Here is a 27,902-nt window from a genome sequence, read left to right as displayed (position 1 = left end):
CAATCAAAGCCTCCAATTTATTCTGGCCATATCTCATCTCCATTGTCTCTATTCAGAGGTAACCTTTAACCTGAACTTGGCACTTAAATTCTTATGCACATTTTAACACGTTATCTTGTATGTAGTTACCTCCCAGCAGCATGTAATTTACGTTGCATGTATTAACATTGTATTAAAGATAATATATTTTAAGATCATTTTGAAATTTATTTTTACAATATTTTCAATAATTATCCACATTAATATAAGCAGCTCTTGTTCCTTCATTTTAGTGCCTATAATTTGCTCTATGAGTGAATAATACAACATCTTCAATGCAAATTCAAGCAGCCTTCAATTTTTCAATATTACAAACAACGCTATAATGAACATTCTTGTGCTCCTCTCCCTGGACACATACGGCCACAGGGGAAGTGTAATTGCTGAGTTATAATATATGTGCATCTTCCACTTCACTAGAGAGTATAAAATTGCTCTCCAAAGGGGCTGTGCCTATTTAAAATCTGTCAGCAGTGAATAAGAGTTCCCTTTGCCCCATATCTTGCCATTAGTTATTGTTATTTTTAAAAATTTTTGCCAATGTAACGGGTGTAAAATTGCAGGTAATTATTGCTTTAATTTGCATTTTCCTAATTACTAAAGAGTTTGAGCATTTTTATATGATTATTGGTTTTGTGGATCACCTCAAAACCAATGATTTGCCTTAATTTGTTGTAAGCTCAGCAAAACCTTTTGAACAGCATTTATTTCATTTTATTCAGAATTCATAAGTGTTTAATAGAAAAAAATTTTGAACATTTTTATTTGTTTGTAATGTTGCTCTAAATGATTGATGCCTGTTTTTCACCTCCAAATATTCTGATTTAGTTGTTATGCAGTGCAGCATAGACATCGGGGTTTTATAAATTCCCCAGGTAGTTCTAAGTACAGTAACATTTGGGAACCTTTGGATTAAGATGATCTTGAATTGTTATTGTCCTAAAATGAGCAAATCAAGTGGTGCTCTATTATTCACTTATTATTGTCCTAGAATCAACAAATCAAGTGGTGCCTTATTGCTCAGTGAACATTAATAAGTGAGGTGGGGATTGGTGGACAAAGGAGCGGGAATCATTCAGTTGGCAAATGAAAGTGAAATATTTTAATTTGTTTACTTGATAAAATATCCTGGCACCCTTGGGTAGATAAAGGACTTACTCTGATAATACTGAGGACATTCATTTGTTTTCTGACAAAGAGGGAAGAAATGTTCAGGGAGGGAAAGACAATCCTGCCCAGCTGTTGTAGTAAGAACATTGAATATTAAAGACAGTTGATTACATGAATAGACTTCAGTCTGGTCGAAAGTTTAGACCTTCTATGGAGAAAGTATTTCTGATAAATGAACTTTTCTTCACCCAGTTTTGCAGAATAAACATGAACTGAAACTCTTACTGGTAACTGGCACTCCTGGGCAGACATACCTAAAGCCCATGTCTCTGGAGAAGTTCTGGAAAGGAATAAAAATCCATGTGAGAATGTAAAAGGATATTCTGGAAGGAACTAAGAGATACTTATCGCTATGCACCTCTACCTTCAACCTCTCAGTTGGCGGCATCAGCAGCATGCCACCTCTTTGGTTCTTGGAGGTTTTGGCAACTCCATTCAGACTGAGACTGCTGTATAACTTGCCTAATGCAGAGATTTGTGTTCAGTGAACTGTATCCATTTCTATTTTAAAGAAACTCGTAGCCTTCACCTGTGTCAGCTTGAGACAACCACGCACCTGGGGTTAGGGTCAACAGAGCTCACTATTACAACAAAGCAAAACGAATCGCTGTCACTAGCCTGCATAGGTAATGCTCCTGCTGCAGAGCACAAGGTAAATTGGCAGGTGGAAGCCTGTCTACTCACACACATTGACTCCCAGAGATAAGTTTACCTTCCTGCTGTAATTTATTATTTATATATGCTGTATATGTATAAAAAATACCTTTATTTCAGAAATTCTAGCTATATTTTACTTTCTTGTATTACAATATTATGAATTTTTAAAAATAAAAATTCTGGTCTGTGTCATTTTATATCATTCATTGATGATTATTGTAGAGTAAAATAAACTTTTTATGATATTAAACCATTTAAAAATTCTGGGCTAATTATAAACCTACAGAGAAATTGCAGTGATTGTACACGAGTTCCCCTATATTCCTCAACATATTTCCTTCTTTGCTGACAAATTTTACAACCATAGTGCAATTATCAAGAGCAGAAAATTAACATTGCTACAATATCATTAATTAAACTGAAAACCTTTATCAAATTTCACCAATTTTTCCATAAATATCCCTTTTTCTATTTGAGGATCCTATCCAGAATCCCACATTGCCTTTAGTTATTTATCACTATTCTCCTTCAGTATGTGGGAGTTCCTTGTCTTTCCTGAACTTGATTAATGCTTTTAAAGAGTGTTGATCAGTTCTTTTTATTTTTGATCAGTTAATTTTGTTCCTCAATTTGCGGTTGTACAATATTTTCTGATAATTAGAATGAGGCCATGCCTTTGTGGCAAGAATACAACAAAGATGATGTTGTGCTCTTCTCAGTGCATTATACTAATTTTGTCATGTCAATATGCTTAATGAGGAAGATAGACAGTTTGTTAAAAACCATAGTTTAAGGGAATAGGTGGAAACTATTGAAATGTGTGAGCAAAGAAATTAATTAAGTGCCATCTGAAAATACAAACGCCATGACTGATGTACTATTGATACCTCCACAATGTGCATGACAATGAACAGTACAATAAGGTCACCCCACCCTTAACCAGTGCAATAGTCAAAAGCAGTGTCACACAACATACAATTTAAGAAGTCAGTGCTTACATTTTTTTCTTATTGTTGTGGACATGCAAATAGGCCTAAAAATTGACCTCTCTTTCACAAAATTCCTGGCAACAATTATATGGAACTATCAGTTTTGAATCGATACTTGAAATTCAATCATATAAATTGTGAAGGAAATCCACTAGAATGTTCTGCAACTTGTGAGAAGTCTTGGCTTGGAACAGTATAATGAAAAGTGCAATCAAACAGTCAAGTAGATTGCTTAAAGCTAAAATTCAGATGTTTCAAAATTACATTGGAAGGTGAAACTCATATAACTGGAGAAATGTGGTGATGTTCTGTTTTGTAGCTAAAGTGAAAAGACTTTCGGTGAAACCCACAAAACACTAATAAATTACTTTCAAATGCTATATTTTGCCATGCTTAAATGCATGTTTAATTAGTTTAGAAATTAAGATTATTTTGTTTTCTCCATTTTCTTGTTTTCTTTCTTTACTTCTTTTTCATCTTCTTAACTATGAAGTCCTATAAGTAAATAATTTAGCAATTTTGTTGCCCTTTTAAACTCTCTTCCTATCTCTGTATTCAGATACAAATTTTTCTTATCAGATACAAATTTTTATGGGCACATTACTTCTCATTATAATTAACATAAAATGATAGTGTTCCTTTTAATGGAAAAGTAACTTTAAACTTTAAAGTATAAATGGTATGTATTTGTAATTTGGCTCAGTGGATAATTATGTGATAAAAATATTTTCTTAGTACAAGTACCCTTTTAGCAGCTGCAACGTCATCACTTGTCATTTTGCCTGTCCTCCGTAGGCTGTGCACATTAGCATGAACTGGAAATAACACTCAGAAAGCAATTTGAGAAACAATTTTTTTTTTGCAAAAATAATGCAAAAGTATTTTAATGATAAAAAATGACATATAAAAGTACATTAACAGAATTCTGACACAAAAAGCATTCATGAAGAACTAAGTTGTTTTATACAGAGCAGACTATAAACTTTTTGACCTGATAAATAAATTACAAATTTGCCTAGCAATATTGGATATAAAAATAATCTGTAGTATGAGGATTAAACGTTGTTTAATGGGAGAGTTTATAAAAATTTGCTGATATTCTGTTTTGATGGTTAAAAAATGTTAAAAAAATTAAGTTTACTTTTTGTTCCTTTGTTTTGATATCACAATGTAGTATGATATAAGCCACCAATAACCACTATGTCATGTACTGGACATTGACTCTCAAAATATTTTACCTCCTTACTTTTTCAGTAATATAATTTTTTAAAACTATTTTTAAAGTGCTCTCACCTTACAGAATGTGCTTGCAAACTTATTTCATTCAACTTCTCTATTCAGAGATGATGTCACAAGGCCATTTCAGAAGTGTCATATCGCTTTTAGATACCATCAACTGTAGATGATTTTCATTGACACTCTAGTGTGATTTTCATAGTTTCCTTCCATTATTGCTTATCATTCAGCAACTGGTTTAAAAAGGCAAAAGTACTATTAATATACTCTACATACAATTTTTAAAAACTAGCAAAGTCTCTGGTTTAGAAAAGAAGGAAAAGAGAAAATTCTCATTTTATTGATTGGACCATATGAGCGAAACAGAGACATGAAACATTGAGGAAAGTCTGATATTTTTACATCCCTTCCCTCCAAATTGCTTTTTTGTCTTGTTTTTTTTTTTTTTAAATTTTTTTTATTTTATTTAAATAGTTTTGGGGGTATAGGTGGTTTTCGGTTACATGGATTCGTTCTTTAGTCATGATTTCTGAGATTTTGTTGCAACTATTACCCGAGCAGTGTACACTGTACCCAATATTTGGTCCTTTATTCCTCAGCCCCCTCCTAACCTTTCACCACAAAATCCATTGCATTATTCATATGCCTTTGCATCCTCATAGCTTAGCCCCCACATATAAGTAAGAACATATCATATTTGGTTTTCCATTCTTGAGTTACCTTACTTAGAATAATGGTCTGCAACTCCATCCAGGTTTCTGTGAATGCCATTATTTCATTCCTTTTTATGGCTGAGTTGTATTCCATGGTGTATATATACCACATTTTCTTTATCCACTCATTGGTTGATGGGCACTCAGGTTGGTTTCATATTTTGACAGTTGCTAATTGTGCTGCTGTAAACATTTGTGTGCATGTGTCTTCTTCATATAATGACTTCTTTTCCTCTAGGCAGATACCCATTAGTGGGATTGCTGGATGAAAGAGTAGTTCTCCTTTTAGTTGTTTAAGGAATCTCCATACTGTTTTCCACATGGTTGTATTGGGTTGGTGCAAAAGTAATACTAGTTTACATTCCCACCTACGTATAAATGTGTTCCCTTTTCACCACATCCACACTGACATCTATTATGTTTTGACTTAATTATGGCAATTCTTGCAGGAGTAAGGTGGTATCTCATTGTAGTTTCAATTTGCATTTCTCTGATAATTAGTTCTTTTAAATAGTTTTCTTCCAAATATTGTTATAAATATTTCTAAATATTTTTGAAATATCTTCTAAATATTTTTCAACATGTATTTTTGAAAGAGCTATGTGTAATAGTGGAAATACATGATCAAATGCCTAAATAAGGACATTATAGCTGGGGATGATTTGAGATTGGTAATGTTCTTCATTCATTTTTAAATTTATTTTCTTAGAGAAAAGATACCCTCAAAAAGAAATTAACAAACTGGGGACTGTTGTGCCCTGTGAGTGGGTTTATATTTTTATGATTTCTTTTCAGTCCTAAGATATTCCTGATGTATATACACTTTTAAATTTTGTCTGATGCAATCTGATATGATTTGGCTCTGTGTCCCCACCCAAAGGTCATCTCGAATTGTACTCCCATAATTCCCATCTGTTGTGGGAAGGGAGCTGGTGGGAGAAAATTGAATCATGGGGGCGGTTTCTCCCATACTGTTCTCATGGTAGTGAATAAGTCTCACGAGATCTGATGGTTTTATGAGGGGTTTCCGCTTTTCCTTCTCTCTCATTCTCACTCTCTCTTGCCACCACCATGTAAGAAGTGCCTTTTGTCTTCCACCATGATTGTGAGGCCTCCCCAGCCATGTGGAACTGTGAGCCTATTAAACCTATTTTTCTTCCTAGTCCCTGGTATGTCTTTATCAGCAGCGTGAAAATGGACTAATATACAATCCTTGTGCATTTTCCTGATGGCAAGAGAAATAAAAGGCTATATTTCTGCAGGGAAGAATAACCTGTCACATCTTCAATCTTTATGGGGAAAAAAAGGCAGTATCTACAAATGTTGGTTTCTTAAGATTTTTAGTTGTGACGGTTTTAAGGGATCAAATAAATAGCCTCTCTCTTCCCATTCGACTCCAGAGCTAACTGAGACGTAAACACAGGAATTAAGCGTATGTGGTTCAGAATCTTTTAACTCTATTGCTAATAACTGTTTGGCAATATGGGCTACTACAGCAATATGGGCTACTACACCTCTAATGAGACACAGCAAATAAGTGAGTCACTGGCAGAGTTAGAAAACATGGCTGATATTATATCATGAAGTATCACGTAAGCATTAATCCGATCTAGAGAGAGGCAGATCCTTCCAGGAAGTCCAGGAGTAGCTGAGTCATGTGTGCTCACTTTCTTTTACAAATTTACCAGTCAGAGAAGTCTTCTTCCCTGGGGGTGAGTGAGTAAGGTTTTGATGAAAGAGGCATGAACTGTTACTATACAGTTCTCTATGTAAACATAGAAAATATGTGGAATAACTGGTCCTCCCTAAAAAATGTTTCTCGGTGAAACAAATAGTGACTAGAGGAAAATGTGAGAGGGCAGTAGACTTGAAACAAATTCTCTTTACCTCATTGCTAGAAAGGGGTAATTTATTTACACAGAGGACCTTTTTTTGTGCTAAACACCCTATTAAAACTTAAAGATCTAGAAGTAAACCAAAGTTCTCTGATCATATAAAGGATAAAAACAAATATATATCATGTCAAGGGATTTGTAGATAATTAAATTATGAAGATGAGAGTGAATGACAGAGTGGCTACTTTTAGATGCTCTGGGAAAAGTACTCTTAATATTTGAAATTTGTTATGAAATATAGAAATATAGAAAAGTTTAAGCAACAGATTTGTTTTCCTGTTTGGTAGGTAGTTTTCTGCTGGCTTCTTTTCAGCTGCTGATTTTCTCTCCAGTTCTTTACAACCTTAATTTCCACCATAAGTTTCTAATTTCCAAGGCCAGAAAGCTTTACTCCTTCTTGGGTTTGTATTCCTTCCACAGGCTATCCAGGATTATTACTGCATTTAGTTTTCATTTTTATTCAATCTTCTTTGTTTTCCCTAGAATAATTCCTTTAAATCTTACTTCATATTTCATACTTTTGACTTTTTTGGAAACAAAATAGAGCCAGTTTTTTTTGTTTAGAATGCTACATAAATGATATTCTGTTCTTTTGTTATATTATGTTTGTTGCTTATTGGTGATAAATTTTATCAGCTGGTTAAAATTGGCCAGATCACACAGAATCCTCAAGTCCACACAGATAACAAATAGATAAATAAACAACAAATAGATAAATAAGAAAGAGGGAAACTTTTCTTCTTTCAGAAGGATAGTGAAATTACACATACACACACACACATATATTCACATATATGCATGTATACTGTATTATATATAAAAATAGAACATGTATATTTATAAAATTCTGCACTTACAGAACCAGAAAAAGATATTAATTCTAGGCATGAGAGGAAGTTTAATGAGTAACAAAATATTTAATTAGCCTCAAAGCATAGTACTTACTATATAATTCCTACTAGATGTTCTGAAAGCCACCCAAACTCCTTAAGCCCTAGCTGTCCTCTACTCAGATCCACAGTCTGTACTGACCTGATTTTCAATGTAAGTGTGAAGAATGTTCCCTCTCCTTATTCTCCATTCTCTCCATATTCTCTCCCCTTTCTCAGCAACCCCTCCTCTACTCCTTTCTCTCTCTCCCTTCTCAACCTCTGTGCTCTGTTACATAACTTACATAATTCTAGAAAAAACTTGATTGCTGTTTGTGATTCTTGGGGGCAGGTAGCTTGTCTTATTTGTCACTGGGTCCAAGTGCTTAAAACAGTGTCTGGTTCATAATGTAAATTAACATAATCACATAACTTTCTTTCTTGCTTGCTTGCTTGCTTGCTTGCTTTCTCTTTTCTTTCTTTCTCTCTTTCTTTCTTTCTTTCTTTCCTTTCTTCGTTCTTTCTTTTTTTCTCTTTCTTTTTTCTCTGAAGTGCAGTGGTACAGTCTTGGCTCACTGTAGCCTCTGCCTCCCAGATTTAAGTGAGTCTCCTGCCTCAGCCACCAGAGTAGCTAGGATTACAGGTGTGTGCCACCATGCCTGGCTAATTTTTGTATGTTTTGGTAGAGATGGGGTTTCACCATGTTGGCCAGGCTGGTCTCAAACTCCTGACCTCAAGTGATCTACCTGCGTCGGCCTCCCAAAATGCTAGGACTATAGCCATGAGGCATCAGGCCTGACCTAGAATACTATTTTCTAAAGGAAAGGAAATACTATTAAGAGAAATACTATTTTCTTTCTGTTGTTCATATTGGATAATTTCCATTATTCTATTTTCAAGTTCAGTGACTCTCTTCTCTGCCCATTCTATTATTCTGCTGTTTAGCCCATTCATTGAATTACCTATTTCCATAATTGTATTTTTTACTTTGATAATGTCCATTTGTCTATCCTTTATATTTTATATTTCTTTGTTGAGACTTTATAATTTTTATTTGTTTCAAATATGTTTGTAAAAGCTCATGAAAACATTTTTAAGATGATTGCTTTTAAAAATTCATCAAATAATTATCTCTGTCATCTCATTGTAGGAGTTTGATGATTGTCTATTTTTTATTCAAACTGAGGTTTTCCTGGTGCTTGGAATGAAGTGAGACTTTTGATTGAAACATGGACATTTTGAGTATTATGTGATATGAATATGGGTCTTCTTTAAAACTGTCTCTGACAACACTCCAGTGTTGGAGGTGTCTTGTGATTTCCAGGTGGTGGCAGAAGTCCTGTTTCCCCACTTGACCTCCACTGAGATCAGGTGATGAGGGGCTCCTTGTTCCTGCTTGGTAGTGATGAGAGAGTTGCAGCTCCTCTGTGGAACTCTGCTGGCACCACCATGGCTGGGAGAGGTAAAAGTGCCTCCTTACTTATGTGACCTCCACTGATGCCAGATGGAGAGTGGCCTCTTTACTATTGGATGGTGGTGAAAGTACTTAATCTTTATTTTGTCTATAAGGTACCACTTCAGTTACCTCTGAGTGTATTTGTTGTCCTGGCTCCTCAGCAGTCTCCACCAACACAGTAGAGGTAAAAGAGAAAGTAGTGGGTGTCTTCATTACCCCCCAGCTGGGAAAAATGTCTCAGGCTCCCACTTGGTCTTCCCTGCTACCACCCTGGTGCCATACAACAGCCTAACAAGTGTGAAAGCCTGAGCTCACTGCTTGACCATTGCTGGTGTGAGTGAGAGCTGGACACTGTTTTCTCTGTGGTATTTGCGTGGATTAGAGGAGTTATTGTCTAAAAGTATTCCGTCTTGCTAGACTGCCCTTTTTCTTGTCTCTGGGCTTTTTACCCCTGTATTTGTTAGGATTCTCTAGAAGTACAGAGCTAATAGGATAGATTTTATAAAGGAGAGTTTATTAAGTAGTATTAATTCACACAGTCACAAGGTCCCACAATAGGCCGTCCACAAGCTGAGGAGCAGGGAAGCCAGTCCAAGTCTCAAACCTAAAGAACTTCAAGTCAGATGTTCGAGGGCAGGAAGCATCCAGCACAGGAGAAAGATGTAGGCTGAGAGGCTAAGCCAGTGTTGTCTTTTCACATTTTTCTGCCTGCTTTACGTACACTGGCAGCTGATAAGATGGTGCCTACCCAGGTTATGCGTAGGTCTTCCTTCCCCAGCCTACTGACTCAAATGTTAACCTCCTTTGGCAACACTCTCACAGACACATCCAGGATCAATGTTTTGCATTCTTCAACCCAATCAAGTTGACACACAGTATTAACCATCACAAGTCCCCCCCTTGTCAACTTGAACTCACACACATCTCCTAAGATCACACAGAATCTTCAAATAAGAACAATAATAAAGTCATAATTACGCCTAAGACAATAAAGTTATCATTTATACAACTGGAAGTGCACCAATCCCCGATCCAAATGGTATTACATAAAGTTAGCAATACTTAAATCATGATATGAAGTCGACAAATCTTATGTCACATGATAAAGGAAAACGGAAATAAAATAAGGATACTTTCTAAGTAAAAGTGTATACATGCACAAACATGCTTTTAACAAAAGAAGGAGGAAATACTAATGACAATTACAGTCCTCATTTCTGCAACTGGTCATGTGGTCGTAACTGGTATTGATGACTACCTTCTTCTACTAACCATTCTGTATGCCCTTTGCCTTCAGCAAGCACCTCAGCAGGTGTTTTTTTTTTTTTTTTTTTTTTCCTGTTGGAGAGATCCAAACTTTCATTCCTCAAGGGTCTGGGCCATTTGTAGTCCTGCCTGGATTGGGCTGTTGTAGTTTCCCATTGACCTTAATCATAGGACATGGTAATACTAAGAGACACCCTAATGGATCTCCTGTATTACATGCATACTCTTCCTTACCTCCATTGTGGAGTAGTAGACTGATTTCATCTTGATAGTCTGGGCCAGTCACCCCAGCCAACACTGTAACACTCTTCTTAGCCTGTTGACTTAAAGGTAGGAGGAGCCCAAAGTGTCCAGATGGCAATCTTAACTTCTAGTTTTATGGCATTGTTGTTGTGTCTCCTGGTGGCAGCACTCCTCCTTCTGGAACTAAGACCTCTAAGCCAGCAGAATGTAATGTCATGGGAACAGGAAGCAAAAATTTTGCTAGTAGATCACTAGGGGTGATAGTGAGTGGTGCCGCTTCCACTTCCACCCCTCGATTACTGGACCTGTAAATCCTGGCTATGGGAGAAACAGTATCATGTATTGGAGGCTGATTCAGAGCATACACAGCCCTCTGGAGAACTTTGCCCCAGCCCTGCAGAGTATTGTCACCTAGTTGGCACTGTAATTGTGACTTCAAAAGGCCATTCCAGGCCGGGTACAGTGGCTCACACCTGTAATCCTAGCACTTTGGGAGGCCAAGGCAGGTAGATCACCTGAGGTCAGCAGTTCAAGACCAGCCTGGCCAACATGGCGAAACCCTGTCTCTACTAAAAATACAAAAATCAGACAAGCAAAAATTAGCCACGCCTGGTGGCATACACCTGTAATCCCAGCTATTTGGGAGGCTGAGACAGGAGAACCACTTGAACCCAGGAGGTGGAGGTTGCAGTGAGCCGAGATCACACCACTGCACTCCAGCCTGGGTGACAAAGCAAGACTCTGTCTCAAAACAACAACAACAACAACAACAATAACCAAACAAACAAACAAAAAGGCCAATCCACCATTCTATCAATCCAGCTGCTTCAGGATGTTAGGGAACATGATCAGACCAGTGAATTACATTAGCCTGAGCTTACTGCTACACTTCTTTAGCCGTAAAGTGAGTGCCTTGGTCAGAGGCAATGCTGTGTGGAATACCGTGATAGTGGATAAGACATTCCATGAGTCCACGGATGGTAGTCTTGGTAGAAGCATTGCATGTAGCATAGGCAAACCCATAGCTGGAGTAAGTGTCTATTGTAGTGAGGACAAACCTCTGTCCTTTCCATGATGGAAGAGGTCTCATATAATCAATCTGCCACCAGGTAGCTGCCTGATCACCCCAAGGAATGGTGCCATGTTGAGGGCTCACTGTTGATCTCTGCTGCTGGCAAATTGGGCACTCAGCAGTGGCCATAGACAGGTCAGCCTTGGTGAGTGGAAGTCCCTCTTGCTGAGCCCATGTGTAACCTCCATCCCTGCTGCCATGGCCACTTTGTTCAGGGGATCATTGAACAACGATGGGGTGGCTGGGAAAAAGAGGTTGAGTGGCGTCCACAGAATGGGTCATCCTATTCGTTTGATTATTAAAATCCTTCTCTGCTGAGGTCCCCCTTTGGTGAGCACTCACATGAAATACAATATCTTCACAGTTTTTGACCAGTCGGAGAGGTACATCCACATACCTTTTCCCCAGATTTCTTTGTCACCAATTTTTCAATCATTCTTCTTCCAAGTCCCTGACCATCCAGCCAAACCATTGGCTACAGCCCATGAATCTATATAATCACACATCTGGCCATTTCTCCTTCCATACAAAGTGCACAACCAGATGCACTACTAGAAATTCTGGGAAGATTTCCCTTCACTGCTGTCCTCAGGGTTGTCCTAGAAAGGGGCTGCAGTGCTGCATCTGTCCAATTTTGGGTGGTACCTGCATATCATGCAGAACCATCTGTGAACCAGGACCTAGTCTTCTCTTCCTCTTCAAATGATAACAGGGAACTCCTCATGAGGCCATAGGCGCGGGCTGGGGGAGAGAAGGGTGGGTGGCAGGAGTAGAGACCATAGGCCTTTGAACCACTTCCTCATGTAACTTACTTTGCCTTCAGGACCTGCTTGAGCCCGATCACGTATATGCCACTTCCCTTTGAAGATGGAATACTGTTGTGCACGACCCACTGTGTGGCTAGATGGGTCAGAAAGCACCCGGTTCATGATAGGCAGTTCAGATCACATGGTGACTTGATGACCCATAGTCAAATGTTCAGTTTTCACCAAAGCCCAGTAACAGGCCAACAGCTGTCTCTCAAAAGGAGAGTAGTTATCTGCAGAAGATAGCAGGGCCTTGCTCCAAAATCCCAGCAGCCTCTGCTGTGATTCACCTATGGGGTTCCTGCCAAAGGATCCAAACAGCATCCTTATCTGCCACTGACACCACAAGCACCATTGGATCTGCTGGGTCATATGGCCCAAGTGGCAGAGCAGCTTGCACAGCAGCCTGGACCTATTGCAGAGCCTTCTTCTGTTCTGGACCCCACTCAAAACCAGCACCCTTTCAGGTCACTTGATAAATGGGAAAAAGTAACACACCCAAATGAGGAATGCGTTGCCTCCAAAATCCAAATAGGCCCACTAAGCGCTGTGCCTCTTTCTTGGTTGAAGGAGGGTCGAAATGCAGCAACTTATCTTTCACCTTAGAAGGAATATCTCAAAGGCTCCACATCCCTGGACTCCTAGAAATTTTACTGAGAGAAGTTTCCTGAATTTTAGTCAGATTTATTTCCCATCCTATGGCCAGGAAATGTCTCACCAATAAGTTTAATGTGTTGCTACTTCTTACTCACTGGATCCAATCAGCATAATGTAATCAATGTAATGGACCAGTGTGATATCTTGCAAAAGTAAAAAGCGATCAGAGTCTCTCTCAAAAAGATTATGACACAAAGTAGGAGAGTTGATATACCCCTTAAGGTAGCACAGTAAAGATATATTGCTGGACTTGCCAGCTGAAGGTAGATTGTTTCTGGTGGGTCTTATGGACAGGAATAAAGAAAAAGTCACTTGCCAAGTCAATGGCTGCATACCAGGTACCAGGAGATGTGTTAATTTGCTCAAGCAATGAAACCGCATCTGGTACATCAGCTGTAATTGGAGTCACCACTTGGTTAAGCTTGTGATAATCCACTGTCATTCTTCAAGATCCAGGTGTCTTCTGCACAGCCCAGATGGGAGAGTTAAATGAGGATGTGGTGGAATCACCACCCCTGTGTCATCCAAGGTCTTGCTGGTGGCACCAATCTCTGCAATCCCTCCAGGGATGCAACATTGTTTTCGATTTACCCTTTTTCTGGGTAGAGGCAGCTCTAATGGCTTCCATTTGGCCATTCCCATCATAATAGCCCTCACCCTACCAGTCAGGGAGCCAATGTGGAGGTTCTGCCAGCTGCTAAGTATGTCTGTGCCCATTATGCATTCCGGCACTGGGGAAATGACAACTGCATGAGTCCAGGGACCCACTGTAAGTTGGCCCTGAGCTAAAACTCTATTAATTACCTGACCTCCCTAACCTACTTTAACTGAAGGACCACAATGATGTTTTGGGTCCCCTGGAATCAACGTCAGCTCAGAGATAGTGTCCAATAGTCTCTGAAATGTCTGATAATTTCCCTTTCCCCAATGCACAGTTACCCTGGTAAAGGGCCAGAGATCTCCTTGGGGAAGAATGGGAGAAAGATTAACAGCATAATTTGTCAGTAGTTTAGTGGGGTCCTTCCACAAGGGACCCAGCCTCCCCTTCTTTCAAGGGGTTCTGGGTCTGTAAACTGGCTCAAGTCTGGAAATTGATTGAGGGACTGTGATTCTGTTTTTATAATTCAAATTAGTCTTTTGTCCATTCAATCTGGAAGTTTTCTGCTCATATAAATTAAGTAGGAATGCAGTAGGCTTCCTATCAATTTCACTTCTAGAAACAATGTGATTAATTAGCCAATGCCAGAACTCCACATGAGTCAGACTATTCTAATTGCTGCTTTGCCTTTGCTGTCCATTACGGTAGCTACACCCACCTTGCCTTTGATCGTTTAGTGCTCCCACTTGGCCCCTGCCACCTTGAGATCCAATTATTCCCATTGTATTTACATTTTTTAATTGAATGACTGTGGTACCTACTGTTAGATCTGACACACAGAGAAGAGCAATTATAGTGCTCTTCAAAAATTCAGGTTTGCAAAGCATTGGTCAAGGGTATATCTTCTAGAACCCCCTAGCTAGAATAAATAGGTATAAAATGACTAATCCACTCCAGCATCGCAATCTCCCTAAGACTTAGAATCCCTTCCTCTACATTAAATCAGGAGAGACCAGGCATTTCCAGCTCATTCACAGTGGGCCATCTTTAATTCCATATTTCAGCTAACCAAGCAAATAAACTATTAGAATTTTTTTTTAACTCCCCGAGCTGCAACATTAAATGCAGAATCCCTACTTAGTGGGCCCAAATAAATAAATTCAGCCTGATCCAACTCTATGTTACTTCCACAATTATCCCATGCCCTTAATGTCTATTCCCATGCCTGTTCTCCAGATTTCTATTTATATAAATTAGAAAACTCACGCAGTTTTTTTCAAGTTTAGTGCATCTCCTCATGGGTCACACAGTCACTCTGAACCTCAGTTCTAGGAGCCTGCCAGGACTTTAGTTACAGGTCTAGAAGCAAACAGGGGTATTGAGGGTGGTTTCTGAGGAGAATCAACATTATCTTGCCTGGCAATTGCCTCTGGAGAGGCAACAATCTGAGTCCTGATGTCCCTAGCTAGTCTTTCTTCTTTTAACTTTTCAGACACCTCTTTTCTTTTCTTTTTTAAATATAATGTCCACAGTTTTAGTTATACTTTGTGGAAGGAATAGAAAAATGAGTACATGCTGCATCTCCCTGGGCACAGAAGTTGATGGAACTCGTGTTGATTTTAGACTATATCTTTTTGGCAGGGCGTGGTGGCTCATGCCTGTAATCCTAGCACTTTGGGAGGCCACAGCAGGTGAATCATGAGGTCAGGAGTTCAAGACCAGCCTGGCCAATATGGTAAAACCCCATCTCTACTAAAAATTGTCTGGGCATGATAGCGCGCATCTGTAACCCAGCTACTCGGGAGGCTGAGGCAAGAGAATCTCTTGAACCAAGGAGGCAGCGGTTGCAGGAGCAGAGATTGTGCCACTGCACTCCAACTGTGTGACAGAGCAAGACTCCATCTCAAAAATAAATAAATAAATAAATAGACTATATCTTTTTAAGTACTTACACATGAGATAAACAATAAGTCTCTGACCAGCAAAACAAACAACCAGTCAACAAAAAATAAACAATTTTCTTGCTCACTCCCTACTTCAGTATTAAATATTTTAAATACTCCACTAGGATAAATCATATTCACCTAAATGGTTAACTTGCAATATGCTGAAAGCTACATATGAACGAGAATGCAATTTTTCATCCCTTTTGTTCAAATCCTATTCTTGCCTCTGTATTTTCTAAATTGTGAATAAAAACTGACTACCTCATACATGGATTAATGTAGATGTAAGGGTCAATCCATTTACAAAACATTAGTAAAATCTTGTTTCTTTCTAAATTTTAATAAATATAAATAGAATTATAACTTTTATTCCAATAACTTAGTGAATTTTGTCACACTTTCCATTGGATGTAGACCCCTTCTTTCAAGACCACCATTTAGTCTGGATGAAGAACAAGTTCACACCAAGCAAAAATAGAGTTAAATAACGAAACTCTGAGATGGGAGACCTTAGAGAGGCAAAATGCTGTCAGCTGTTTGAGGTTTTAGTTCAGCACGTAAGAGAAATTTTAGTGATGGGCATTTTCAGTTTGCACTGCAGTGCCAACCAGACAGGACGCTGCTCAGTAACCTGACAGAAGCTGAGAAGAGCAAAGAGCAATTTTCACACCTCTCTCTGATAAGGCAGTGGGTTAATTAAAGGCAATCAATTGAGTGACAAATAAAAAGGAATTGCAAAGATTGTTTTAATGTAAGAGCTTTTCAACAGTGAATAGACCTTGTCAATTGAGGAAAATGTAAAAAGCAGAGGAGTCTGCCTGCTTGATCTTATGGAAGGGGGAGGAATAACTGAGAAACTTGCTATCAACCTTGAGTAAGACACTTTCCTTTTTTGTTTTGTTTCTTCATCTCTAAAATGAGGGCTTCCTACAATATAATTATCTCCGTGCGTCTATTACTTTAGTGAACCTAGACTCAAAGAAAGTTTCTGAGTATGCTCAATATTCGAAATATTGAAATACTCTTTATATTTTACTCAGGCAATTTTCTTGGCCAATAAATCTCGTAAAATGCTTATGAGGCTACATTAGAATGCCTGGATTAAAAAAATAATAGTATGAAGTCTTATGTTTCTGAATCTCAAATGATTTAAATATACCTCATTAATCGCCAAATCATTCTTGGAGGTATATAGGTGGGTGTGTTTAACATTATTATCAACAATTCAATAATGCCGTAGAGATCAATCTTATCTTCCACAACATAAAGAAGGTATATATTTTACCTTCAAAAGGCTCATAATGAATAAAAGAGAAAGACATTCAAATATAAATATATCTCCAAACACACTGTCAAATATCAATGGGATAATTACACAAAATGAATTTGAGATTCATAGTGAAGAAACTACTCTCTTTAGAATATATTAGATTTTTGTGAAAACAGCATTAGTAGTTTCAGGCCTCTGGGATATGATTAAGTGCTTAAAACAGTAATTTAATTTATTATTGATTCAGGTGTACTTCCCATTTCTTAACAGGCCTATTTTTTAAAAGTTTGTATAAATTAAAATTTTATTTTTTTTTAAAAAAAGGAACTCTGTCAGCTGAATCATCCTTTTAAAAGATAAGTACAGTGAATGATTAACCTTTGTATTCAGTTATATTTAATATTCTAAATTTATACAGAAGATTTTCACGTATTTGAAATTTTTAAATGTGAGGCTATATCTGTACCTTAATGGCATATAAGTAAAATTTAATTTTCTAAAATATTCTAAAATATTCCTAGGGAACAGTTTTAATACGGGGAGCCTCTTCATTGAGAACACATTGTTCTTAGTAAAACTAGTAACAAAATCTGTCTCTAAAATAAAACTAAAAGTACTACAAATTCTTCAAGACATTAAATAAAGTATATTCTTGGTTTTTATTTGAAATCTATTGTTATCAAAACTTCAAATGTTATATAAAACAAGTTTTTACCATAGCTCACCTTTTTTTGCTTTGTAAACATATAGTTACATCTATAAAATAACATTGCCATAACAAAGGAAGAACATTTTCCATTTTATTACAAAACTTAAAAAAATAATAGTACATATAAATATATAGTGGAAATAATTATTCCAATATATTTGCATAGATCTCAATATAATTCATATGTAATACCTATCATATAAACTTGTTGAAAATAGTGTTTTATGCATTTTATTTTAAAGTGTTATAAATTCAAAAAAGTGGCTTTTTGGGCTACAGGTAAAAATCTTCAAAACGGTGCAGAATATTAAATATTATTGAGAAGTGCAAATGTAGAAGCAAAAATGTAGGGGATAATATTGTTTGTTGTATAAGATTTTAAGAGTCATTTGTTGCTCAAGTGCTTCAAAAAAGTCAAAGCATTTTCAAAATGGTAACTATACTAAATATGACTATATATTTTTCACTATAGTATACAGTGAACTTCTCTCTGTAATTCTTATTTCACAAAGGTTTAGTTGGTAAAATGTACTCTACATAAAAATTGACTTCCCATTTTACAGTGTAGAATACTTAATGGATATTTGTACCATAGCCATTTCTTTTGTGAAAGAATCTTTCATTTTGTGACATGTGTGTATATGTGTGCATATTACCACAAAAATCTTGCATAAAGTATGAAAGAATCATATTTTAAGATAAAGTATATTAAGCCAGGAGCAGTGGTTCATGCCTGTAATCCCAGAAATTTGGGAGGTTAAGATGGGTGGATCACTTGAGGTCGGGAGTTCAAGACCAGCCTGGCCAACATGGTGACAACCCATCTCTAGCAAAAATAGAAAAAAGTTAGCCAGATGTGGTGGCATGTGCCTGTAATCCCAGCTACTCAGGAGGCTGAGGAGGGAGAATCACTTGAACCCGGGATGCAGAGTTTGCAGTGAGTCGAGATCAAGCCACTGCACTCCAGCCTGGGTGACAGAGCAAGACTCCATCTAAAAAAAAAGCATATTAAATGGAAACATTTATTTATTTATTGCTCATCTAGAACAATATGATAAATTTATACTTTCACTGAGAATAGCAAGTCACTCATGCTTTTTATCTCCTCCAAATTGAAGACCATTTTTCATGTCAAGTTGACAGCTATGTTAAGAACAATCAATTTAGAGCTTTTAACGTGGTTAGGGACCTGCATTTATGCTTAGCAATGCATAACATCTTTCAACCAGCAACCTCAATTATTTTTCTCCTATATGCTGTATAACAATACAATAAAATTTAAGCCCATTTCCCTAATACATGCACGTTGTTTACAATTTTGTGCTCATACAACTGTACTAATATACTCTACACAAAAAATAGACACAGAAATTGATCAGATATAATATTTTCATGTACCTTCAGGAGTAGAAACTGCACTTTGGGTATCACTTCTCTAAGGCACCAAAACTTTTCCTTTACCAAAACTTTGTCCAATCTAAGAATGTCTTGATTCACATTAAATTAATTAACAAATTAATTATAAACTGCTTTTTCAAATGGCCTTTGCATGTCTCAAATTCCTATGCATTTGATAACACAGGTAGGTATCTGCTAATTCTTCTGTTATTTTTTTCCTCCCAAAAATGCTCCATGCTAGTAGATTCCAAGTGGCGTAGAGAGTAAGTTTACTTTCTATTAATAATAACCTCAGAAACTGAGGTTTAGGAATTGCTACCATATGAGGGTTGTAATCTGACCAATTAACTCATTCTTAGCTAAGCCTCCCAAAACATATATGTTCCTTATGGTTGCAAAAGGTGTGACATTTGATGTGTATTTGCATGCACACGCACACATTGGTTAAAAAATGTGTATCAACACACAAAAATCTTATAAAAGAGGTCACGTTTCCTTCAGCCTACATCCTTTTCATTTTGTTGTGATCTGCCAAATTCTAAATAACATCTGCCATTAAGAAGGTGGTTGCAGGTAGATAAAACAATTTTTTTCTTGAACCACTTAGTATATTTAATATGCAAATATTCAAATAGGAGCTGAGTAGGATGGATTCTCTCTCTCTCTTTCTCACTCTCTCTCTACTGAGAGGAGGAAAAAGAATCTGGTGCTACCCAATCTGAGAATAAGAAGATGAGGAAGGAGTGGAAGGAGCATGTAGACTAATGGAGCCAGCAGAAAAGGCCCAGGTCTCAGAATTGAAAGCTTATATTCATTTTAACCAGGTTTCAAGAGGCATAGACCACCAGCTCATATGTAGATTGCATTATTACTATTCATATAAAAAAGTGAGGATTTCAAATGAGTAAAGATGACAAATATATATATATATATATAAAAGATTGCTAATATTTTCTTCTGTAGGGAGATCAAGTAGCCACTAAGTTAAACATCAAAGTTGGATTGGCATTTAACACTGTTTTGATCTAAGGTAGATATAGGTGGAAAAGAGAATAGATAACCGATTCAGATAATTTTTGTATCTGGTGATGACTTTTGCCATACAATATTCTCCTCTATATATTGTAACTCTGTTAACATTCTACATAATTTAATAGGATAGTTAGTATTTGTCTGGTTGGCATTTTGATATATTCCAGAACCTCATCTAAAGTGCTCAACTGTTGCTGAAAGACTATACAAGATCAGAAAAATAATCATTAATGCCTAAAGGTATATCTTCTAGACTACATCCTGTACAATTAAAAATAGAATATGAAGGATGACATCAATTTGGCTTATGCCTTGAGTTGGAAAATTTTATAAATAATTCAGTGATTTAAAGGGCTTATACTAAATATTTTACTTTGATCTTTTCTTTGTTGGTTTTCCATCAGTTGAATTCCTGGAAAAGACCACAACTGAAGTTTTTATGGAAACCAACCATAACACATACTGCTCTTACATGGAGGAACAACACCTAAAACATCACAGAAGAAAATTATCCAATAAAAATGAGTTAGGAAGCTTAGATGACCTACATTCTCACATGCTTCTGGACTAAGTTGTCAGCAGTGGAGTCCAGAGACCTTATGTAGAGCAGAATAATTTCAAAATAAAAGCAATATCCAAGTATTATGGGCATAAATCAGAGATAGCCCAACACCTTGTGACCAATGCAAAAAGGCAACAGGTGTTGGGGAGAGGAAACTGACTTTGGTTTGTCTTTTGACTACTTGGGTGGTGCAGGAATGTTATTTAAAATAATAACTGCTAAGGATGAAGAGGAAAAAAATATCAGAGAAATTAGCAGTGTAAACTAGGTACATGCAATATAAACTATAACAAGTTCAACTATGGCTTAAATAGGTAACCATAATAGAAAGAGGAGAATTCATGTAAGAGGATCAGTCAACTCTAGGAAGCAAAGTTGAATACAGTACTTAATTCTAGAATTTAACTTTAGCTGCACCATACATTTGGAGAGTCATGGGGACAGTTGGGGATAAAGAATATAGTGGCTGCTCCATAAGGAATTTGTATTTGTGAGTCAGAGACAAAGGCAGTTGCCCCATATGTCAAGTAAAATCTCAGCAACTCCTGGAAACACTTCTTGACCAGTCTTGCTCAGTGGTCATCCTACATATCTTTTGGGTCATCTAGCAGTCATTGTTTCTGCCTTTCATAGATGCTTGATTCTATAATTTGTGGTTTACTATCTCAACTTACCTCGATCAGAAACTTCAGAAATACATCTGTTTTATATTGCATTGTACCTTACACAGTGATTAATTTTTGATGAGCTGCTCAACAGATATTTAATAAACAATGATATCAAATTATAAGCATTGAAAACTGCAGGTACCTTTTTGTCACAGCAGTATGTCTTATAAAGGACAAAATTATTACATGAATACAAGATTGTAGGCCATACATATATACTGGAGACTATTTTTAAAGCTTACTTGTGTTATTCATCTGACTGGTCTTTGCACAGCAGTTAAAGAGCAGAATCACACCTGATAACTACCCTCCGGAGCCAGACTGCCTAGATTCAAACCTGAGTTCTTCCTCAGTCTGAATAGATGATCTTGGGTTTATCACTTATTACAACCTTGTTCTTTTCAGAGATGATAACAATAATTCCTGGCATCATTTGGTTGCTATGTAATTGAAACAATTATTATATCTAAAGAACTAAGGTCCTTTAGTATAAAGCAAGCATGTCATAAATATTAACTATTATTATCTGAACCATAAATCTCTCTGTCCTTTCATGTGTAAAATCTTAGATACAAAGGCATTTCATCATTCAAAGCCTATGAATGACACCTGCATCTTGGGAAAATCTAGATTCTGGAGGATAGCATTTTTGAGACCATTGAGTCTGAACTGAAGCAACTCGTGGGCCATTGATGGAGAGATACATGTATCTCTAATTATTCAAAGGCCTTTTGCTGAGAAACTACAAAATCATGAAAAACATTCCTCAGAAATTACTAAAATTATAATTAGGACATCACGAATGTGATCTTTATTTTCTTCCATACATGTCCTTCATGCTGTTTCTAGACTGACAGTCTTACTCTAATACATAGTCCACGTGGACGTAAAGATGTTAAAATCTAATCTAAGGCCATAATTAAATTATTTTAAATCTATTTTTCCTTTGGTAGTGTGTAAAATACCTGCTATCTTACATTCATGGCATAGAAAAATTGATAAATAGCTTTAATATATCAAAAATGTACTAAATAATCAAGTCTTTGTTAAAACAAGGATCACTCAATCACAAAAAACTTACTATATTAGTATGATATGGGTTCATATATGGATGTGTTTACATATACACACATCTCTCTAAATATGAAAATATATACTTTAAGCATGACAATTTAGGAAATTGTACTAAGTACAATATCTCCAAAATTCAAATAGAGAAAGTCATAATGTAATTACACAGTTTTGTTTGGTAGATAATACTATTAAAATAATAGCTATAAGATTAGTACGGGAAGAGTCCATATCTTATTTTTCTTTCACGGACTGACATATATAATAATAGTTTCTAAAATAAAAACTGACTATGTTTAATATTGTATAGGTAAGAAATGCCATTGACAGAAATATTGGAAAACGAAAGCATATCCAATCATAAGGACATACAATTTAGAATATAATACACAAATTCCAGTGAAATGATAAATATACCAGCTTTAGAGAGTAATGTATATGCTTTAAACTTAAAAGATAAAATATTAGAATCAGGATCAAAAGAGATGTGATTGTCTCCAAGTTGGTGCTTAAACTTCATAAATACTGTCTTATGGCCTTTTCGTTAGTGTCCATTTTTCAAATTATAACTTACAGTTCAGGAATTCAAGAGAAATATAAGGCTGCCATTCAAAAGGGTCTTCTATTGCCACTTATTTTTTGTTTAATTCAAGTTTTAATGTGAATACTCTTCAATCACTAGCAAAAAAAGATAATACGGGGTGGAAAACGTGAGAAGAATAATTTTTTGTCGAATACACTTTAGGCATCACAGGATTTCTGGAATTAGTCCTTGTGATTGCAAAGCATTATCATTATTAACAATGATGTAATTGTAAATAGGTGCATGATCTTAAGCATACAGATGGAGGAATTAAAAGGAAAAAATATGTACTATTTAATGTCAATGAATGGTTTTCTTAAAAACTATAATTTAATAGAATTGACTAAGAAATATAAACATCTAAATGAACAGTAATTGTTAAACCAATTAGTCAAGCAAATGTCTAAACCTCTTTCTGGCAAATCAAATCAAGAGCACATGATTTTATCAAACCTTCAAAGAAGAAATAATGCACATTTTAAATCAGTCCTCTAAGGATGACAGAAATATCTCCCCAAATCATTAAATGACATCTGTATATTTTTAATTCTAAGGTAATCAAAAATAGTACAAAAAATAAAATAATAAATTATTCTTCCTCATGAACATATATTCAAAAATCCTAAGTAAATCACATTTAGCAGTGTGTTAAAATATTGAAACATTAACAAATAGAGTTCATCCTAGAATCCATGCATGGCTTATTTTAGAAAATTTACCCATATCTATCAACACATTAATGTAAAAACAGATAAAAATATTACTATCTAAATTAAATCCAGAAAATCATGTAGTAAGAATTGGGAGTGGATATTAGCAGGACTTCTTCTATTTAACATTTCACCTAGAGCCCAAAAGAAGATAATATTTTCTAAGTTCTCTCACAAAACAAGATATAAGACAATTTATTTATATCATACAAATGAAATTTAGGTCTCCTAGACCCAAAAAGAACTCTAGGTCTTCATTTTTAGTAAATTTAATTTTAAAATTAATGATTTTTTTAAAAAGTACATTTATGAAAATGTATGAGTCTGTTCTTCAGTCATATGAGCCACATTTCAAGTTCTCAATAGCTATGTGTGGCTAGTGATGGATACATTGAGTAGATGGAGAACAAACTTTTCCACTAGAGAAAAAAAAAAAAAAATATATATATATATATATAGTCGCCCAGGCTGTAGTGCAGTGTCACCATCTCGGCTCACTGCAAGCTCCGCCTCCTGGGTTCACGCCATTTTCCTGTCTCAGCCTCCCGAGTAGCTGGGACTACAGGCGCCCACCACCACGCCTGGCTAATTTTTTGTATTTTTAGTAGAGACAGGGTTTCACTGTGTTAGCCAGGATGGTCTCGATCTCCTGACCTTGCGATCCGCCTGCCTCGGCCTCCCAAAGTGCTGGGATTACAGGAATGAGCCACCGCGCCGGTCTAAGGGAGATATTTTAAAAAGGTATTTCTTTGAAGGGAGTTGCTGGAGTATGGGGTAACTCTTTCTCTTACCCTCCAGTATCCTCACGGCTTAGAATATTGGTGGTCCTCACCATTATCACAAACTCAGTGAGTGAGTTCTTAAAATAAACACTGACAGAGAGTAGGATGCTTTTCAGGCAAAGGTTTTTCTTACACCCTTAGCTTTAGCCAGTAAGAAGACTGTTTCAGAGTACTAATCAAAGCACTCTGTGCTTTCAGACACACTGTGGGAAGTCTATCTACCAAATGACTGATTGGGTCCCTGGATAATGTTTGGACTCAAGTATCTTGAAGGGGTGTATTAGTTCATTCTTATGCTGCTACGAAGAAATACCCGAGACTGAGTAATTTATAAGAAAAGAGGTTTAATTGACTCACAGTTCCGCATGGCTGGGAAGGCCTCAGGAAACTTACAATCATGGCAGAAGGCACTTCTTCACAGGGCAGTAGGAGAGAGAATGAGTGCCAGCAGGGGAAATGCCAGCTTATAAAATCACAACATTTCATGAAAGTGAATCATTATCACGAGAACAGCATGGGGGAAACCGCCCCCAAGATCCAATTACTTCCACTTAGTCCCACCCTTGACACATGGGGGTTATTACAATTCAAGGTGAGATTTGGGTGGGACACAGAGCCAAACCATATCAAGGGGTTTTGCCTAAGATTTCCTACCTGGACAAAGGTGATTCTGTAGAAAGATACAGAAAGCAGGCCTGGGGAGTCAACTGTTCCTGTGTTGTGAATTTGAAAAGCCCATAAAATATACACTGCTAAGAAAAGAGATTAACATCCATAGAAATCCAGAACCAGATTGCAAGAAATGGATTCTGTCCATTCACATCCAGAGAAATCCAGAACCAGATTACATGAATCAGATTGGTCAAATCAGAGTTTTTCCATCCCCTACATCCCCTCTTCCTCCATCTCCTCCATACCCAATTCTATATAGTCAGGCATAGCAAAGTGAGTGCGAGAGAATACAAGAAAGAGTAAGGTCCAGTGCTTCCAAGTAAGATTGTGTATCAAGCCTTTGCAACATGTGGCAGAAATGCCTTATTTCACAGAAAAATTATATTATTGAAATTTGTTTTTAAAGGGCCTATTTTGTAATAAATATGATCACAGAAGGTACATTTTGGAATTTGTTTATAAACTCCATTTATACTAGCAACAGGCCCAGCAAGAGGCAGAAATAGTAAAAATAAATAAAGTTAGTCAACATCTCTTCTGTCCCAATATCTCCATGTCTACCTTAGACTAGATTTAAAGCTTAAGATAAGGGAATTCATTCTACAAAATATCAGTACAATTAAAAATTATAGCAATTATGGCTGTTACATTGCAAAATAAACAGATAAAGCAATGGAGCAGAGTGGAAAGTCTAGATATAGGCATAAAGTTTCTTTATACCTCTTATTGGAATATTATTAGACAATATTGGAAATAGTTCAATCAAAGAAGAGATAACTGATTCACTAAACAGAATTTGAATCAATAAATATTACCGAGCAAGTGATACTTATTACCAACTCAAGGTTAAGAGTCTCACCACATAGAGGATGTCAAATAGCATAACAATGCTGATAGCCGGGAGCAGTAGTCTCAGGAAGTCAGCCTCCCTTCCATGGTTTTCAGGTGTTGGGTTGGCCAAGGGAAACACAATTCACACTGGCATTGGAAGGAACAAAGTTTTGCTCACATAGAGTAGAAACAGAAAAGGTTAGCTTCAATAATGAGCTTCAGGCTCTCAGCCAATGCAAGGGGATGGTCTGCACACATTCCTCTTGTGATTCGGATAAAGGACATCCATTCCCTCCCTATGGAAACCCATATAGTACGGGAGTTGATGCACACACTTAAGTAGAACAAAAAGGTACACAAATTTGGAACAGATAAAGAAATTCCCAAACAGAGATGGGCGAAGCACAAGCTATGAAGGCTCTTAATTTCTTTGTAAGGATATATTCCCAACCCAAAGCACACTCTTATACAATTGGACAGGAAAGACTGTGCAAGTGACTGCTTCTCCCAAGAAATACCCCTTTGAAAAAATAAAAATAGAAGGATTCCTACCTCGTAGTATAAACGTAAATTAATAGCTGATTAGATAGGCAAAATTACAAAATTTAAAACTTTTATGACAAAAATATGAAATATTTACAAGATGCAGAAAGCATAATATATAACAAACAATAAATTTGTGTTATAATTGTGTATTCTATACAGATAAAAAATGAAAAGTTAAGCAAAAAATTTAAAAACATTCATTAAACACATAACATTATATAATTAGCATTAGCATATATCATTTTAATATATCAAACTTGAAAATCATATATTATTAGCAAATAGACAAAGGCTAAAAAAGGTTATTTACAAAACATGTAACCAAAATGATTTACCAAAGAACCCTCAATGCCATTTTAAAAATAGAGATATCTGTTCACACTCATCTACTTGGAAAAAATATTTAAGGAAATAATTTAGAAACTGTTAAGTTGGGTTGATGAGTAATTGAGCATTTGTTATATTACATCTATCTATCTATCACCTATCTATCTATTATCATCTTTATCAATCTATCTGTATCTATTTTTACTTTATGCTTGGGAAAAAAACCTTTGTTGAAATAAAATAAAAATTGTTAAAACTAAGAATGCTGCAACACAAGCCTTTTTGCTTCCTGCTGTAGCAAAATAAATGCATTCTTTTTTTTATTTGGAAAGCACTTGGAAAATTAGTATGCTTAATGTTAAAAACTTTATACATTATTACATAATAATTCAATTTTGAATATCCTAAAAAAATTGCAAGTGGTTAAAAAAGCTGTATTCGTTAATATTTCCACTAGCGTGTTACATGTAATAAAATTTTTGAAACATATATTCATTGATAAAAGAATACTAATTCAGGTGACCAAGACAGCTTGTTAAAAACTGATTCTTTACAAACTGAATGTAAAAGTTGTTTCTCATTGAAAGAATACTGATGTTTTGCTAAATATTAAACCTGGATATGAACTGTTTAAATATTTTTTAAACTTTATCAGGTTAATATTATAAAAGCTTTCCTTAAGATACATATTTTTTCCTAAGTGTATTTAATTGAATTAACAGGGCTTTCCTTAAAGATGTTAAATTGGTTCTGTGTATCTAACATATTACTAATAAAAATATTTAACAAATTTTTAATTCACGATCTCATATTAATCTGACTTGTATCTCTAGAAGAGATATAATGTGATGTAAATTTGAAATGATTCCAAACTTTTACATAGTTTGCTACTTGAGTGACATATGTTTTGCTGTGATAAAAATTTGGAGTGTAATTCCGCCCTCCTTGAGAATGTTACATCATACCTTATCAGGCTCCGTATGTGAGTTATTGACCTTCAACTACTGGACTCCAAAATTCATAAGAACCCAAGATTTTACAGGCAGTTTGAAAGCTTAAGCCATGGCAGGGCTATCCTCTGTCAGCTGCTTCTCAGAAGACCAAGAGCTTAGGCTGTGGCTGGGCCACA

At 36.2% G+C, this 27,902-nt stretch overlaps 1 long non-coding RNA gene across 2 annotated transcripts; it reads right to left on the bottom strand.

The window, feature by feature from the left end:
- Positions 1–27,902, bottom strand: LINC02394 (long intergenic non-protein coding RNA 2394). 2 transcript variants are annotated; one of them, NR_187487.1, is made up of 3 exons: positions 27,739–27,902; positions 4,149–4,324; positions 1–1,489 (listed from the first exon to the last, which is right to left on the bottom strand). It is a non-coding gene; the product is annotated as a long intergenic non-protein coding RNA 2394 (long non-coding RNA). The 2 variants fall into 2 exon arrangements; NR_187486.1 differs by lacking the exon at positions 27,739–27,902 and adding an exon at positions 10,525–10,789.

Source organism: Homo sapiens, chromosome 12, assembly GCF_000001405.40.
Source record: "Homo sapiens chromosome 12, GRCh38.p14 Primary Assembly".
Taxonomy (NCBI): Eukaryota; Metazoa; Chordata; class Mammalia; order Primates; family Hominidae; genus Homo; species Homo sapiens.
This window is presented reverse-complemented; position numbering and strand designations above follow the sequence as displayed.